The following is an 18,825-nucleotide window of genomic DNA, read 5'->3' on the forward strand; positions in this document are numbered from 1 at the left end:
GGAATATGAGAAGTGGTGTTAAAAAGTGTGTATGAAATTGAGATTATTGAGGAATTGCAGTTATTATAAAGACAATTTGTCGCATGTGGCCAGGGAGGTGAGAGGCTGGGAGTAGGTTGGAGGGAAGATCACTGGAAGAGATCCACCCCTCCCCATCCCCATCACAAGGAAGGTAGGCATTAGTTTGCAAGAGTTCAAGCCCTTAGATCTGCTTTTGAAGGAGAAGAGGCTATTTGTAAGAAAGCTGGTAAGTTTCTATTCCAAGGTTCATGATCTAATAGGAAGACTGCAGGTGTGGCCGTCAGGCCCAAGTCCTAGGTGAGAATGCAGGTCTGCGAGCCCCTAGGACCGGACCATAACGACCTTAACAGCCATAACGGCCGTAACTGCCATAACGGCCGGCTGCGCGAGGCCCTTCCAGCATTTCCACTTTCGTCAGGTACTGGAGAGGGCTGCCGGCCGGATGCCAGGGCAGAGGGGCAGGGCGGACGGCTAGGAGTTCAAGAAACATCCTGGTCTGAGGGAAAGGCTGCAGCCTGCACCGCCATGAATAAGCTTTTCAGCTTCTGGAAGAGGAAGAATGAGACCCGCAGCCAGGGCTACAACCTTCGAGAAAAGGATTTAAAGAAACTTCACAGAGCTGCTTCAGTCGGGGATTTGAAGAAGCTGAAGGAATACCTTCAGATCAAGAAATATGATGTAAATATGCAGGACAAAAAATACAGGTGACCAGACTGAAGAGCCAGCGCGGGAGGACGGGTTGGGGCCTGGGTCGTTCAACCAGAAATAAGACAAGTGGGGGCTGTTTGACACTGATTGTCACTCCGGGTTTCCCAAAGAAGAGAGATTGTCTGGTAACCATTGGCAGAGGGTCCCACTCCAACTTTCGGCTTTTTATTTAATTTAAAAAAAAAATGCTGGGCCGGGCGTGGTTGCTCACGTCTGTAATCCTAGCACTCTGGGAGGCCGAGGCGGGTGGGTCTCCTGAGGTCAGGAGTTTGAGACCAGCCTGGCCAACATGGCGAAACCCCGTCTCTAACCAAAAATGCAAAAATTAGTGGGGCGTGGTGGCGGACGCCTGTAATCCCAGCTACTCAGGAGGCTGAGGTAGGAGAATCACTTGAACCCGGAAGGCGGAGGTTGCAGTGAGCCGAGATCGGGCCACTGCATTCCAGCCTGAGTAACAGAGCAAGACTCATCTCAAAAAAAAAAAAAAAAATTGCTTGCTTGAATATTTTCTACCCTTCCTGAATCCATCCTCTCCTCTGACTGGCTTAGTCTCCACTGGCAGTCCATCTTTTCCCCACCTTACTGTTTTGCTTCTTGGTAATAGATCGTCCCCAGGCACTAAGATGTACAATTTTGCTAATGGGAGAATAGGAAAAGAGTAGAGACGACCCCCTGGAACATTGGTTAGTTAGATTTTAACACTTGGAAACATCAAAACAAGTAACTTTTAAATTTTTTGAAGAAGAAGCTTGCTGAGTTTATTGATACTTAACAAACTTATTTGGACAGAGGATGATTTTTTTTCTCCCTTCATTGCTACCCATTACTTATCACCAATTTTCTTAAATCTGATTCCATTTTCTCACCAAATATATGCTGCAAATATGTGTAACAACTGTATAAACGTGTCAGATTCTGGGATAATATGATGAATAAGCCGTACTATTCATTAACCACACTCATTACCATTGAACTTGTCAAGTCACAAAGGTCCCTTGTAGCCCCCTGGGGCCTTGATGCAGCACAATCAGCTATATGAACTCTGTTAAACCACTGTCCTTACTTTGGTTACAATTTAAAAGAGACTTTGAGAATCTCCAAACTCAGAGTTGCTGTTGAGCTGGGGTTAACAAGCAGAGGGACTCCCCAGATAGCTTCATACCCAGTTTAGCTTTATAACAAGTGTAGTTTTAGGCTCTGTCTTGGCATACTTGAGAGCACAATGGCTGCTTCAAAACAGGCATTTGAACTCGCTGTTTAATCAAATTCTTCTTTAATCTAAAGTGAGTTTCTCATAGAGAGCATATACACTTAACCCTTGAACAATGTAGGGGTTGGGGTGGGGAGTCAACCCCCTGTGAAGTAAAAATTTGCTAATAACTTTTGACTCCCCCAGAACTTAACTATAAATAGCCTACTATTGATTGGAAGTGTTACCAACAGCATAAACAGTTAACATATATTTTGTATGTAATATGTGTTATCCACTATATTCTTACAATAAAGTTAGCAAAAGAAAAAAATGTTATTAGGAAAATTATAAGGAAGAGAAAATATATTTACTGTTAAGTTGAAGTGGATCATCATAAAGTTCTTCATCCTGTTTTCTTCACATTGAGTAGATGGAGGAGGAGGAAGAAGAGGGGTTGATCACAGTGTCTCTGGTATTTTTTGGTAGTAAATGATAAAATAGACTGATATCTACATATATTTTATGCATTCATGGCATACGTAACCTTTTCTTAATTTTTCAATATTTTTAGGCTACATGTTTCATCTGCTAGTTTTTTCAAATTGTTGCAAATTTCCAAAATTTTTCTTATATAGCTATTGAAAAAAATCTATGTATAAGTGAACCTACACAGTTCAAACACCTGCTGTTCAAGAGTCAACTGTAGTTGCATCTTGTGTTTTATCTATTCAGCCACTGTTTGATTACAGAGCTTAATCTATTTACACTTAAAGTATTTATAGATAGGGAAAGTTTTACTATTGCTATTTTGTTAGCTTTCATGTTACTCTTATAGTTCCTTTGTCTTTTTCTTTCTTACTGTCTTCCTTTGTATTTTCTTGATTTTGTGCTTTGATACTGATGTGCTTTGGTTCCTTTCTTTCTTTTTTGTGTAACTTCTACAGATTTTTTTTTGTGGTTACTTTGGGACTTACATAAAATAGCTCATAGCAGTTTATTTTAAGTTGCTAACAATTGAAGTTCAATAGCATATAAAAATTCTAAATTTTATCTCCCCCCAAACTTTGTTGTTGTCATAATTAACATGTATTCATATTGTTTATGGGGAAGCTGGGGTGCTGGCAAGCCACCTCCTTTGCTCTCTTGGGTAAAGCTGGGAGGTAGTGGGTCTCTTTCTTATCATATGGCACTGTGTTGGAGGCAGAATCTTCAGCAAGAGGGTGTTCTGAATCTCTCTATTAGTTCTAGTGCCTCTGGTTTTGTATTCGCTCAGGGTGCAGGAGACTTCCAATTAGTTTCTGAGTTTTCACAAAGGGAGTTTGTCCTTACGCTGTTGCTGAATTGGTGTGTTTGTTGTGAGGAAGGGTACTTCGGGGTTTCCTACTCTGTCATATTGCTGACATCACTCTGGTTAATCTTTTTAATGTGGATCACTTATGAAAAATTTCCTCAATTACATAATATCTTCAAACAAACCCATTAACAACCACTTGCTGCGAAAATTAATACATATTAAGAAACAAAGTTAGGTGTTTGGCATTAGTAACAGTAAATATGTACTATCAGTGGCTGCCTTAAAATATTTTTGGGAGTTTTCAAGTCATAGGGTATGAAAAGCATCATCTTTCATCACAGGTGGGTAAGTGAAAACTATACAGTTAGGAAAAGGATTTGTATTTAGCTTATTGATAGTATTATGTCTTTTTTTTTTTTTTAACAAAAACAGTGTTGTCCAATCTTCTAGATGGCTTTTATCCTACACCACTCCGCTGAATGACTTTATAAGGTAATCGATAACTTCAATGTGACTTCATTCAGGGGTCAGTTTTTAGTCTTACCTTGCTGGCCTGTCAGCAAAGTATTTTATTTGCCATATCAGTGGTATTTGAAATATTGTCTTTCAGAACACTGGGGCCATCTGGCATTTCTCCTAATTCTGTGGACACTTCTTTTGAGACTCTTTTGCTGGTTTCTCTTCATCTTCCTGACTTGTAAACACGTAAGGAATTCCACCAGAAATGATTCTCTCTCTACTTTTATCTTCACTCTCCTGGTGAAGAGAGATTAGCTTTAAATATATATATTCCAGTGCCTTCCAACTTTTAATCTCCAGCCAACCAGACCTCTTGCTGCCTATATTTATACTTAGATATATAATATTCACTGGTGTGCTAATACATGTTTAATAACAGGCCCTTAATGGGTAGGGGAGGGAAAGAGGGAAAACCCTGATTCATACAGTTTATAAATTGTGGCCAATTTTAAGCTACCAATGGGATATCAACTGGCTTGCAAAATTCCTGAAAATTTAACAGTTAGCTTGTAAGAACCACTAGCTCCATCACATCACTACTTAGCTTTCTCAAACTGAGGTCTCAAACATTCCCAAACTAAGATCCTGTTATTCTACTTCTGACCTGCCTTTTCTTTTTCGATAAATGCCAAATGTTGTCTTTCAATTGCTTAAGGCTGAAATTCTAGAATATTTTTGATTCCTCTAATTCCTTCACATCCATTTGATTAAACAGCAAATCTTGTTGGCTCCTCCTTCAAAATAAATCTAACATCCAAGCATTTCTTGCCACCTTTATAAGTACTACCATAGTCAAAGCCACCATTATGTCTTACCTAGAATTACTACAGTGGCCACTTAACTACACTTTTCCCTTTTCAGCTTATTCTCAACACAGCAGTCAGAATGATCCTGTGTAATGTATGTCAAATGGTATTATTCCTTGTTTTCGTAACTTCCAATCACTTTCCATCTTACTAGGGGTAAAAGCCGGATCCATCCAGTGTCTCATACCACCCTATATGATCTTCATCTTCACCCTGTTACTTGTCTGATCTTACCTCCTACAACTCTTCCTTTCATTCATTTACATCCAGCTACACTGGCCTTCTTACTGTTCCACAGAAATGCAAGACATGCATTTAGGGTTTTTGGACTAGCTGGTCCCTCTGCCTGGGGTGCTTTTCCCTCAGATAGTCATATGACTTGCTCTTTCACTTCCTTTAGGTGTTATTCAACTGTTACCTTACTAGTGAGGGCTTCCCTGGCTACTCTTTACCTACAGTTGTACCCTTTCTCCTCACTGACATTTCCTACCCTTCTTCCCTGCTTTTCTCTTTAGAACTTAATATTGTCTTATGTACTTTTTATCTTTTAAATTGTTTGTTGTTTACCTCTTCTACTAACATGTATGATTTATAAAAGCAGGTATTCACATATGTTTTGTTTGCTGATATATCCTCATCACCTAGAACCCTGCCTAGCCATAGTGAGCGCTTAATATTTTTAAAATAAATGAATGAAAGGATGAATACATACATATATACACATATAAATGGGAGAACTTAAGGATACTATTCAGCAATAAATGCAATGAATTATGGATATATGCAAAAATATGGGTGAATCTTGAAAGTGTCATGCTAACTGAAAGAAACCAGACACAAATGACTCCATTTACATGAAATTCTAGGAAAGGTAAAAGCACTGTAGCATACAGGAAGCAACAAAAAAAGAAAACTACAGTCCAATATTCCTATGAACATAGACACAGAAATCATCAACAAAATACTAGCAAACCAAATCCAGTAGTACATCAAAACGATAATTCAACACAATCAAGTGGGTTTTACTCCAGGTGTACAAGGATGGTTCAACATATGCAAATCAATAAATGTGATTCACCACATAAACAGAATTAAAAGCAAAAACCAGATGATCATCTCAATAGTTGTAGGAAAAACATTGATAAAATCCAACATCCCTTCATGATAAAAACCCTCAACAAACTAGGCATCGAAGGAACGTACCTCAAAATAATAAGGGACATCTATGACAAACACACAGCCAACATCATACTGAATGTGGAAAAGTTGAAAGCATTCCTCCTAAGAACTGAAATAAGACAAAGATGTCTGCTCTCACCACTCCTATCCAACATAGTACTGGAAATCCTAGCCAGAAAAATCAGTCAAAAGAAATAAAAGGCATCCAAATTGACAAAGAGGATATGAAATTATCTCTATCACATGGACATAAAGGTGGAAATAATAGACACTAGGGACTCCAAATGGGGGAATGGTGGGATGGGCATGAGAGTTGAAAAACTACCTATTAGATGCTATGTTCACTATTTGGGTAATGAGTTCAGCAGAAGCACAGCATTATGCAAGATACCCATGTAACAAACCTGCATATGTACACCCCGAATCTAAAAAAAAAGGATAGTGACATAATGTAAATTAATAGTTACCAGTGGTTTTAGATATGGGGGGAGGGGAAAGAATTGACTGCAAAGAATTGACTATAAATTGACTAGTCAAAATTCATAAAGTTGTACACTTTAATTTTATTATAAATTACAACTTGATAAAGCTGAATGAAAAAAATCTCAAATTGTATATTTCTGTTTGAACGTGTGTGTGTGTGTGTGTAGAGAGAGAGAGAGAGAGATACTGAAAATGAGAAAGATAAAATATTAAAGGACATATACTTAAATTGCTATTTCCAAGAGAGATGAAATGTGGGCAGAGGAAAGTAGATAGAGTGAGATGGTCATTGGGAACTATTTGTTTTGTTTGAATTTTTAATAAGGTAAATTACAATGTTTTATCAAATGTTTCACAGAATCATTTTGGAAGCATTGTGCTTAAGGTCTCTGAAACCTCATGTAAGCATATGTGCATATTAATGGCCTAATGGAAGTGATATTTTTAGATATGTTTTCTAGTAAAAAAAATGATACTGAAAATTGGAATTTCTGGTAAAAAAGAAAAAAAGGGACAGAGGAAATAGCATAAGCAGATTGTTCAGGAAGCCACAGTGGCCTAGCAGGAAAAACATTGTTCTGAGAGTCAAGATCTGAGTTTGAGGCCTTCTCTACATCTGTATCATGCAGAGATACCTTCAGTCTCATCTTTCAAACTAGAGCTACTACTCGATTAGTGTTTTTTAAACAAAGATCTGCAAAGCTCTGTTGCAGGCATCTTATTAAATCGGAATAGCTCCCTGTTAATGTGCTCTGTGTAGTTAGCTTCTATTTTTGTTTTTATTTCAAGAGCAGTGTGCCTAATAAGTTTGAAAATGAATTGGAGATGTTTAATGTCTCTCCTGCTATAAAATCACTTTTATGGTTTTTAATAAAAAAGCCCTTAAGATCTATACATAACTTGGTGAGTGGAGGCCCAATTCTAAATTAATACCTTCAACCATACTACTCAAATCTAGATTACATCGAAAGTGCCCAGCCTAGAGATGAAAATAAATGACCTAGTGTGAGTTAGCTTCCTTGGTTACTTCTCCTTCACTCACCCTGAACTCTAAGTTATCAGGAGCCCAAGAATGTCACTTAAAAAGGGCATTCTCATCATGAGATTCAATTGAAGGCTACAGCTATGCCCTGGCCCTGTACTCTGTCTAGCAGATAACACTTTTCACTTCAGCTTTCAAAGTAATCTTTCAGCCTTGACGCTCATCTCAGTCATCCCTTTTGCTAAAGTTCAATTTGAAATTTCTGGTATCTGATCATTCATCACCTGTCCACAGTCTATGCTGACAATTTTTCCATCGATATATGAGAGAGTGAGAGTCTGGGAGAAAATAGAACTTGAATGAAACAAAATGACATCGGTTAGCCTGAAAACCTAGAAACCAGTACTAAGCTTCACAGGAATTTAGATTTCTGGTTAGATTAAGTACCATGAGTTAAGAAGTAACAATATAAACTAAAGTCTTAAATTGGGAGTATAATGTATTCATGAAAGTTAAGGATTTTTGACAAATGGAATAATATTGATTTTAAAATGTTTCTCTAAGATATCTGTAAATATACTTTTTGCATTCAACTCTTTCAAAAAATAGAATGGCCTCTGTTTTTGACATTAAGTGGAAAAGCATTCCTATTGGCCTCGAAGCATTTACATTATATGTGTAAACATATAGATAAGTGGCCACAACAAATTTTTTTTTTGTTTGTTTGTTTGTTTTGCTGCTTGCTCCAATTGTGAGCTCTAAAATTTAAGGACACTTAAATCTAAAATTTAAAATAAAATGAATGTAAATGTTAAATCTGTATGTTTTTTAAAACATTTTGGTTTTTTTTTAAACTAAGATGACTGCTTTAAAAGGATGACAAATATTCTAAGTGAAAATCTTTGCAAGATTGACGGTTTGAGTGAATATTGTGAACTTTTCAGTGTTTTGTGCATGCTCAAAGCTAGATTAGTTCTTGTTTTCAGATTTTGTACAAATGACCCCAGGCTGTATTGTTCAACACCTCCTTTGAAAGTGGAATCTTTCATGGCTATTTTATTTTATTGAATTTGTGGCTGATTTCCTAAGTTCTTGGAGCTTAATATGAGCCATGAAATTTTTTTATGAGATTTGTTACTGAAGGTTTTAGATTCAGTTGGTGGAAGAGCGAGGTATACAGCAGGGTGCAGCAGCCATTTGTGGAGGACCTATTGGGAATCCATTTACTTTCTCTTAGTAAGAGCAGTGTGTTTGTGTGTGTGTGTGTGTGTGTGTGTGTAATTTTATGCGTTTATTTTAAATTAGGTAAAAAATTGGAGTTGGAGGGAGAGGCAGATCTAAAAATTGGGTGGAAACCACCAAAGTTCCTTGGAACTAAATTCTCAAGATATGTGTAATAGCAGATGAGGGAGACACATCAAAATGTTTGCCAGGATTTGCTATCTACTGCAAGGGATTATCTTTGGTGGGCTTAAAGCTATTTAGCCCTGTGTTATGTTTGGATTGAGGGCTCTGAAAACTCCTATTACATAAGGAATTTCATCCTTAAGCCAAACTGTAAATGTGAACAGAAAGCTTAATTAGTGCTTCATTGTATCAGGATTACTGAGAAATTAGTCATCAGAAATTTGCTTGGTAAGGATGGAATCACAGTAAAGTAAAGGTGGATAGTTTTGAGGGAAACATAATTTAGACCATGTTGTTTGATGAATCATTTTTGTCCTACAACAAAGTACTTCTTTGTTCGTTCCTTAAATTCAGATTGTCTTTTCCATGTAGTATGTTAATTAATTATGGATAACTTCTGGTTTTATTCTGTTATGTTAGCTGACTGTCTTCTTCCTGACTGTGCTCTCTCTTTAGCTAAATAATAATATAATTGGTTAAAATTTGGCTTTTTATATTGTAGTTGTATTACAGTCTTGCCTTCCAGAGATTACATTCAGGTAAACTTAATTAGAATTTTAGCTTTCTCCAATTTTTTGAACTGTTTTTATATTTTCTTGGTTTATTGCCATAGATGGTAAGTTATTGTGTATAGGTTTTGTTTGTTTATCTTTTTGAAAATTGCCTTATTTTTAAGTAGTTATCTTATTTTTGAGGTTCACCTTTTTGCTACTCCTGTGTGTCAATAGCAGGTTTATTTAGGTACCCATAGAGTACTTCTGAGGAGCTAAAGTGAAACAAGGAAAATATATTTAAGTTTCTTGTTTGGAACATGGATTATTTATATGTGGCCTTGGTATTATAAAATTATCTAAAAACAAGGCTATAATGATATCACCTTAGAAGTAGATAAATGTTTATTGAGGGCCAGTCCAGGCTAAAAACTGCAAAATTTAAATGGATCTAATTAGTCTTCTGTCATAATTCATGAATGTGTGTCTGGTTTCCGGTAGGCTACCTAGAATAGGGTTCTTTAGAAGTAGAAATTAGTGTAATAACTTAAAATAGGGTTAAGATCTACAACTTAGAGAGTACTTAGGCATTCACCTTTTACTTCTCAGAAACAAATGCCAACTTTAATCACTGAGTAAATAAAGAAAAACACACAATTAGGTACAGCATGTCATTGATTAAGTAATATCCTTTCCTCCTGTTACCTATTAGATGTATTTCAGGTTTTAAATATAATTTCTAAATTTTATGGTGATACCTAACTTTATTATCTTTTCCAAGGCCCAGACATCATTTTGGTATTTTTTAAAAAATCTATTTTCATCTCATTATAGTTAAATTTTCCTTGAAGTGAAATCAGTTAAATATTTAATCTTCAACACACTTGCGCAGCCCTGAAAGTTCAATAAAATGTAATTGTAATTAATGTACATTTGTTTAAATAGAAATATGTGCATGAAGCAAGTACCTTACCAATGTACAATCTGGCTTGTTTTTGGGTAAAACAAGTAACTTCTCAAACGAAGACTTATCTCTAACTTTGTGTTTTGTTTTATTGACATAGAACACCTTTGCACCTAGCCTGTGCTAATGGACATACAGATGTTGTACTTTTCCTAATTGAGCAACAATGCAAAATAAATGTCCGGGATAGTGAAAACAAATCCCCATTGATTAAGGTATGCCATAGTTTTTCTTTTTCAATTGGAATGTGTTTGAGTTCTCCTAGTTAATTTTTGTTGATTTTTCATGTTTTAAAACATAGTATCAAACATTAATTTATCATATCCCAAGTAGTAAATTGGTTACTCATCTACTCTTGTTGCATTAACAGGCAGTACAGTGTCAAAATGAGGATTGTGCTACTATTCTTCTAAACTTTGGTGCAGACCCAGATCTGAGGGATATTCGTTATAATACTGTTCTTCACTATGCTGTTTGTGGTCAAAGTTTGTCATTAGTTGAAAAACTGCTTGAATACGAAGCTGATCTTGAAGCGAAAAATAAGGTAGTTTTCTATTAAAGAAAAAAATCCTGTATTTTAGAAAGCAACTGAAGAGCATATTTCAGATAATTCATCTATGTTGAAATATATGTTATATAAAGCATGAATTTTCCAAACTAAAATTGGGGAGAAAGAGAAGAGATTATCAAAAACTGATAAAATATTTCTTCTCTTGAACTCTTTCTATATTTTATTGCAGATTGTAATCCTGACCTCCAAAGAAACACTATATTTAACAACTATAATTGTTTAACAGGCCATAACAAATGAGGAATATTTAATTCTCTTATAACTGGGTATTGATAAAAATCATAAAACCCACCTTTTTTCTATTTTATTGATATACTCATGAATAATAATAACAGGGTTGAAATAGCAAATGACACAATATTAAAATTAATCTAACTCTTCTATTGAGGCATTATGAATAGCCGATGAATTTTTTTAAAAAGTGTATTGAGCCGGGCATGGTGGCTCACGCCTGTAATCCCAGCACTTTGGGAGGCCGAGGTGGGTGGATCACGAGGTCAGGAGATCGAGACCATCCTGGCTAACGTGGTGAAACCCCGTCTCTACTAAAAATACAAAAAATTAGCTGGTCGTCGTGGTAGGCGCCTGTAGTCCCAGCTGCTCGGGAGGCTGAGGCAGGAGAATGGCGTGAACCCGGGAGGCGGGGCTTGCAGTGAGCCAAGATTGCGCCACTGCACTCCAGCCTGGGCAACAGAGCAAGACTCTGTCTCAAAAAAAAAAAAAAAAAAAAAAGCGTATTGATACTTTACTGATATTTTGTCCACAGCCAAAATAAGTGCCAGCCTTGGAAGTTTAAGTGAAACCCAGTGGAAATCTGAATGTGACAATATTATGAAATGTGAATTGACAGTATGCAATGCTTACATTAAATGCTAAGTGCTCATCACTTACTTATTCTAGGCTGCTCTTACCTACAATTTGAATTAAGCCTAAAACAGGAACTTAAATTTTTTTGTCTGGCTCAACCCTGATTTGTTTTCTTGGTCTTTGAAATCACATTTTTTTATGTATTAAAATCTTTTAAGAGTTAAAGTGTATATTCAGAAGTTCTTATGCACACATATTTTAAGTTGAACTTAAATCTAAAGAGCATGAAAATTTGCTACAATATTTTAATCATTTTTAAATATTTTTTTCAGGATGGGTATACTCCACTATTAGTTGCCGTTATTAACAATAATCCAAAAATGGTAAAATTTCTTCTGGAGAAAGGGGCTGATGTGAATGCTTCAGATAATTATCAAAGGTATAATTAATAAATAAGATAGCACATAACTAAAGCTACCTGATAGGATTGTGTGTGTGCGTATGTGTGTGTGTGTGTGTGTGTGTGTGTGTCCACAAAACACAATATATATGATATTGGGAAAATATAGAACCATAAGACCCGTAGGATGTATGCTCACATGCTTTTGGACAGATTACCTAAACTTTTAGGATTTATTTTTCCCTTTGTAAAATCAAACAGTTGGGCCAGGTATTAACTGGTTATTATTATTATTTATCATTTATTATTAGAATTTAACATTAGACTCTTACATAGATGACCAACTGTTGTAGTTAAATGGGGTCAGGGGACCCAAAGTCCCAAGACACATTCCTTCATGGAATTTTGAGACATATTTTTGAAAACACTAGGCTTCCAGGAAGAAGAGATTGAAAATGATTGAGCTAGCTGCTTCCTAGGTACTGTTCATGTTTAGACTCCATGATATGATCTGTGACTGGCACACTTTTTTGAGCAGATCTGCTGTATTTTTTACATTGTTGCTTTGACTCTTTCTGATAGAGGCCCTACATTTGAGTAGTAAATTGAGAAGACTGAATTTTTAAAATTAGGCATGTTTAAGATCTTTACATGGGCATTCATTTCTATCTCTTGCTCCAGAACAGCCCTTATTCTTGCTGTCAGTGGTGAACCACCATGTTTAGTAAAGCTTCTTCTTCAGCAAGGTGTGGAATTATGTTACGAAGGTATTGTGGATTCACAGCTGAGGAATATGTTTATTTCCATGGTTTTACTGCGTAAGTGATACTGCATGTCTTTTAACAACTGTATGGGGTTTGATTATAAGGATCAAAGCCTAAGCCCCAAAGTACAAGGCTGGAATAGGCTCAACAGTAGGGGTAACCACATACAAATCTGTGCAGGGATTCTTGATTTTCTCTGTTTGTGGGTTCAATCAATATAAGGGCTACAGATGGGCTGAATATGCAAATAAACTACCAGAGGCAGGAGCATTGGAAGTGTGCCAGGGTAGGGATTTAGACACTTGTAACATAGCCATTAATAAAACATATAGGTGATAGAGTTGGACAAAAGATGATTCATTCACACAAAGCCTTTCATTGCCTTTAGATATTATTAATATATGGATTGTATTCATGTTTTGAATATTATTGTTAACATTTCATTAGCTAACCTTAGTTTGGTAAGTGTTCAGAATTCTAAAGTACACTCTATTTACACCCAAAAGAAAAACTATTTTCATGTATGAATACAAAGTTCTGATTTTTAATAGTTAATGAGAAAATTAGATACGATGTACAAAAATTTAATTTATAGCTTATGAATTTAACTTATAGATAATTTGTAGCTAACTTAATTTACAGCTTAATGAAGTTAAATAACATACAAGGTATTTTCTCTATAATTTTATTTTAAGAGCAATTTAAAATTATAAGTAGGTATTTTTTCAGTTTTTATTATTCTTCTTCCACTGCTTTATTCACATTTTAGGAATACTTTTTAATCATTAATTCCATATGAAAAGCATAGGTGGGAGGGAAGAAAAATAATCACATATACATACAGATGTTTAGTCTTAATTTAACTTTAGACACAAAAGAATTTTTATTCTATTAAATGCATGAACCATAATTGAGTAAATATAATATTTTCATCTTCGTAATACAGAACGTGTACTTTGTTTTACTTTGGTTTAAGCAGACCATATGCATAAAATCTTAATGAAATAAACATGTAAATTATTGGTGAATATCCAAACTATAAAAGGATTCTTCACTCTACAAAAGTGATCCCTAATGTTTCTTTTATGTATGATTTTTTTCCATCACTTAAAAAGCTTAGGTATATGAAACTAGAAGACACATGTATCTGTTTAGTAATGTATCTATTGGTCAAAAACAGAACTTGTATATTTAAAATACTTATTTACATATATGTAAGCAAGTCTCATGAAGGCATTATTGGATAGTTTGATGAGAAGGAAATCTTACAATCTTCCTTTATCTCCCCCAAATGGCTTTTAGAACAGAAAATTCTTTTTGTAGATTGCTCCATCATTAATTTTAAAATACAAACATATTGACCATGAAGTTTTTGTCCTCTTAATAGATTCATATTTTCAATGTCGAAAATTGTAAGAGAATTACATTTTTTTTTCTTTTTTTTCAAAGAGGTGAGAGGGAAGAAAAGCAACTTCCTAATGATTAAGCAATTACCTCTGGGATGTGGAAATGATCAACATTTAATAACAATTGCAAGTGACTCTTCAAAACTACAATCTTGTCCTTTCACAGTATTTGCCCCTCTTTGCAGTGGGAACTAAGCTTTCTGTAATTGTGACTTTTGTTGCTCAAGTAGCTGTTGCCTATGTAACGTACTTAAGAATGTGCTGCTTCATAACATCATTTGTTGGCTCTCTATGTAGATTCTATGGCTTAGTAAAGTGGAAGCATAGACAATATTCCTCATAGTTTTAAAAAATTAGTGAAACACTTCCAAATGAAGGAATTATATTTAAGTATTTATTTTATGGTTAGCCATAACCCATGCATTTCTTCATTTCTCTCATTAAAATTCAGAAGCCATATGGCTCTTTTCTGTCATGGAGCAAAAGTATATTCATCACTGGGTGTGTTTCAGTCCCTGACTGAGTTAATTGTCTTCACTTTGTTAATTTACTATTAAACCTGAGAGCTGTGGGCTGAATTTCCCCCTAAAATTCACACGTGAAAGCCGTGGCCTAGTACCTGTGAATGTGACCATTTTTGGAGATAGAGCCTTTAAAGGGGTGATTAAGTTAAAGTGAGGCCAATAGGGTTGGCCCTAATTTAATTTCTAACCTGGGTCCTTATAAAAAGGGGAGGTTAGAACATGCAGAGAGACACAGGGGTGCTCATGCTCAGAGGGATGACTTATATGAAAAGGCCAGTCATCTAAAGGGCAGTCACCTAAAGCAGGTGTCCTTAACCCCTGGGCCATGGCCCAGACCTGGTCCTTGGCCTGTTAGGAATGGGGCAGCACAGCAGGAGGTGAGCTGCAGGCCAGCAAGCAATGCCGCCTGAGCTCCGCCTCCTGTCAGATAAGCAGAGGCTTTGGGTTCTCATAGGAGCACAAACCCTCTTGTGAACCGCTTTGCAAAGGATCTAGTTTGTGGTCTCCTTATGAGAATCTAACTAGTGCTTGATGATATCAGGTGGAACAGTTTCATCCTGAAACACCCCTGTCCCCCTACTTCTGTGGAAAAATTGCCTTCCACAATGTCAGTCCCTGGTGCCAAAAAGGTTGGGGATCTCTAATCTAAAGAACAGTTATCTAAAAGGCAAATAAATGCCTGGGACAGATTTTCCCTTAAGGACCTCAGAGAAAGCCTACCCCACTGGCACCTCAATAAATGTGCAGCCGACAGAACCATGAGAAAATTAGTTTCTGTTTAAGCTGCCCCATTTGTGGTGTTTTGTTATGGCACCTCTAGCAAATGAATACACCAACTATAAATTAAAGCCATTTTTACTATCTTGATAGTGGCTTTTAAAAAAATCATATTTGTGATAGCAGGAAGAAAAGAGGTGCCAGAGAATGGGAGTACATGAAATAAAAGTGGTGTCTGTTGACAGAGTTGGCTCAAGAGGAAGCTTGTCCTCAAGTGTGTTACATTCTTGGGGCAGCATTGGCTGGTACCTAAGGTTTTGATTTGATACTTATATGTTAGGAATTAAATTTCTATGCATGCTGGCATTCACACGTAATTTCCTTTATAGATAGATACCCACAATTCACTGCGAGCCATGGAAAGAAGAAACATGCTAAATAGACACCTTATTCTTGGCACTACATGTGACTAAAGGAAGGTAAGATTGCTAACTGGATTAGTGTTTTTTTCTTGTTGCTTTTTATTTGTTAATTTTTTAGGAAAGGAAACAACTTTCTTAAGTAACATTTAATTTTAAAATGGAAATTTTGTATTATTTTGAAATGTCAAATATTTTTAAGAACTATTCTTTTTTATTTATTTATTTATTTATTTATTATACTTTAAGTTTTAGGGTACATGTGCACATTGTGCAGGTTAGTTACATATGTATACATGTGCCATGCTGGTGCACTGCACCCACTAACTCGTCATCTAGCATTAGGTATATCTCCCAGTGCTATCCTTCCCCCCTCCCCCCACCTCACAACAGTCCCCAGAGTGTGATATTCCCCTTCCTGTGTCCATGTGATCTCATTGTTCAATTCCCACCTATGAGTGAGAATATGCGGTGTTTGGTTTTTTGTTCTTGCGATAGTTTACTGAGAATGATGTTTTCCAATTTCATCCATCTCCCTACAAAGGACATGAACTCATCATTTTTTATGGCTGCATAGTATTCCATGGTGAATATTTGTGATTAAAATATTCTGACACTGTGTTGGCTGAAAATGTAAAGATGTAATGTAAAAATATGCTTAATGATTAAGATCATTTTTTAACCCATTGTCTCATGTCTAGCTATAAAAAACAAAATTTTTGCACATATATATTTTAATAGATGAAAAACTATCATAAAAATTTTAATTTTATTGTAAAAATACATTAAGCACTGTTGATAGTAGTTAATATAAGATATACGAATTAATTATATAAAATTTTAAAGAAAGTAACAATATTTGTAAAGAATTGAATTTACTGTGCATCAACTAAAATAAAATTTTGTTATTCATTTTCAAGAATATATAGTTATTGGCCGGGCGCGGTGGCTCACGCCTGTAATCCCAGCACTTTGGGAAGCCGAGGCGGGTGGATCATGAGGTCAGGAGATCGAGACCATCCTGGCTAACAAGGTGAAACCCCGTCTCTACTAAAAATACAAAAAATTAGCCGGGCGCGGTGGCGGGCGCCTGTAGTCCCAGCTACTCGGGAGGCTGAGGCAGGAGAATGGCGTGAACCCGGGAGGCGGAGCTTGCAGTGAGCCGAGATTGCGCCACTGCAGTCCGCAGTCCGGCCTGGGCGACAGAGCGAGACTCCGTCTCAAAAAAAAAAAAAAAAAAAAAAAAAAGAATATATAGTTATTTAGGTCTGTAAAAATTAGCTTTTATTGACAAGTATGTTTTACACTGACTTTTGTTGGATGAGAGAAAAACTTTTAGAACTCTCCTCTGTATTCACTAGCAAGCAGACTCCTCCACTACAATTCACCCCCAGTGTAAAATGGAAGAAAATAAAAAGGACATAGAAGGAGTGTGGAGGCAATAGAAGATCATATAAATTCTCAACTATTCAAGCCCTCTCCATCCCCCATCCCCACAAATCTATAGTGATAATGCTTACAACAATGTTTGGTCCTATCAATTCCAGGTGAATAAACTTAGGGGAGAATTTCTCTGAATTACCTTTTTTTTTTTTTTTTTTTTTTTTTTTTCTGTTTTTGAGGTGGAGTCTCACTCTGTCACCCAGGCCAGAGTGCAGTGATGCAATCTCAGCTCACTCCAATTTCTGCCTCCCGGGTTCAAGCGATTTTCCTGCCTCAGCCTCCCAAGTAGTTGGGATTACAGGCTCCACCACCATGCCCGACTAATTTTTGTATTTTTAGTAGAGATGGGGTTTCACCATGTTTGCCAGGCTGGTCTCGAACTCCTGACCTCAGGTGATCCGCCAGCCTCGGCCTCCCAAAGTGCTATAATTACATGCGTGAGCCACTGTGTCTGGCCCTCTGAATTACTCTTAATGTATACTCTTATTTCCTCTTCTCCTGCACCTCTCTCTCTCTTTTAAATGTCTGTGCAGCTCTAAGAAGTGAAGAATTTCTGTGATTTACACTTCGTTTCTTAAGGGAACTAAAGCAGTAGAAACTACAGAAAAATCATTGCTACATTTTGAGTGCCTCTTGAGGGTAGACATTTAAAACCAGGCTCACTCATTTTATTTTGGCAAGTTTGTTCACAGTTCATAGTGAAATGTTAATCTTAATTAATGTTTTAAAGCGTAGATTTATTGTGTCAAGAAAATTACCAAAAGATGTTGCAAAAATGGTGAACATAAAAAGTTATATTTCTGTCAAATTCAAAAGAGACTACTTAATTATTTAAAAATTACTATTAGATATAGAAATGCTAAATTATAATTGTGTTGTAGCTGAGGCATATAATTTAAGAAATACATGTAGAAATGGAAATATTTGGACGTAAGTGAAGACATTATAAATATCATTTGTTTCCTAGATATGGAACCCATTTCTACAATTTCTTTGCCGCTTCCTTGAATTGGAAAAATGTACTTTGAAAGAACCGTTAAGTGAACTATTATAATATTTTTGCTGACTACCCAGTTGAAGAAAAGTTTGTTAATTGGATGGGATTTTTTTTTTTTCACGTTAGAAGACATGAAGAAATTTTAAAAGATAAACATCTATATTGTGAACCATCAGCTGAAAAGATAAATTTGTGTTCAATATATAGGCAGAAAAAAATTTGTGTCAAAATGTTGAATGGAATAATAATGAGGAAACTGTGTTAGGCATGTATTAAAACATTTAAATAAAATAAAAATACATTTCAGCTACAAAGTGAAGGAAAACATTATAAATAATCCTGTATAAATCAAAATTATGTTTTATTTACAAGTATTTTCACTGGTAAAACCTTTTTGATTTTTTAGAAACACTACAGTACTATAATATATATTCGGAAAACTTGGGTATTATAGAAAAGAAAAAAGAAAATGCATCACTCAAAGTCTCATTACCCAAACAAAACATTTGTTAAATTTTTGGCATGTTTTGTAGTATTTTAAAATTTGCTTAGTTTTTTTTTCCTCAAAGAGAATTTCCAGTTTTACATTTTTCTTCTTGAAAACACAATACATTGTCCACAGTTTTCACTGTGCTCTTTGCTATAGCTTAAACACATCAAGTGTGGTCTGGCTTCAGAACAGTTCCCTATAAGACCCTTTTTCCTTTAGTTATTGCCTAGGACAACTCCTC

General features: G+C 35.8%; 1 protein-coding gene across 1 annotated transcript; it reads left to right on the forward strand.

Moving 5' to 3' along the window:
* Positions 1–419: 419 nt before the first annotated feature.
* On the forward strand, positions 420–18,448 carry ANKRD7 (ankyrin repeat domain 7). The gene is made up of 7 exons (NM_019644.4): positions 420–725; positions 10,147–10,261; positions 10,417–10,590; positions 11,757–11,863; positions 12,506–12,642; positions 15,625–15,714; positions 18,065–18,448. The coding sequence occupies exons 1-6, from the start codon at positions 547–549 to the stop codon at positions 15,675–15,677; spliced, it is 765 nt and encodes a 254-aa protein (NP_062618.2). The 5' UTR covers positions 420–546; the 3' UTR covers positions 15,678–15,714; positions 18,065–18,448.
* The last annotated feature ends 377 nt before the right edge of the window (positions 18,449–18,825 follow it).

Source organism: Homo sapiens, chromosome 7 (assembly GCF_000001405.40).
Source record: "Homo sapiens chromosome 7, GRCh38.p14 Primary Assembly".
NCBI lineage: Eukaryota > Metazoa > Chordata > Mammalia > Primates > Hominidae > Homo > Homo sapiens.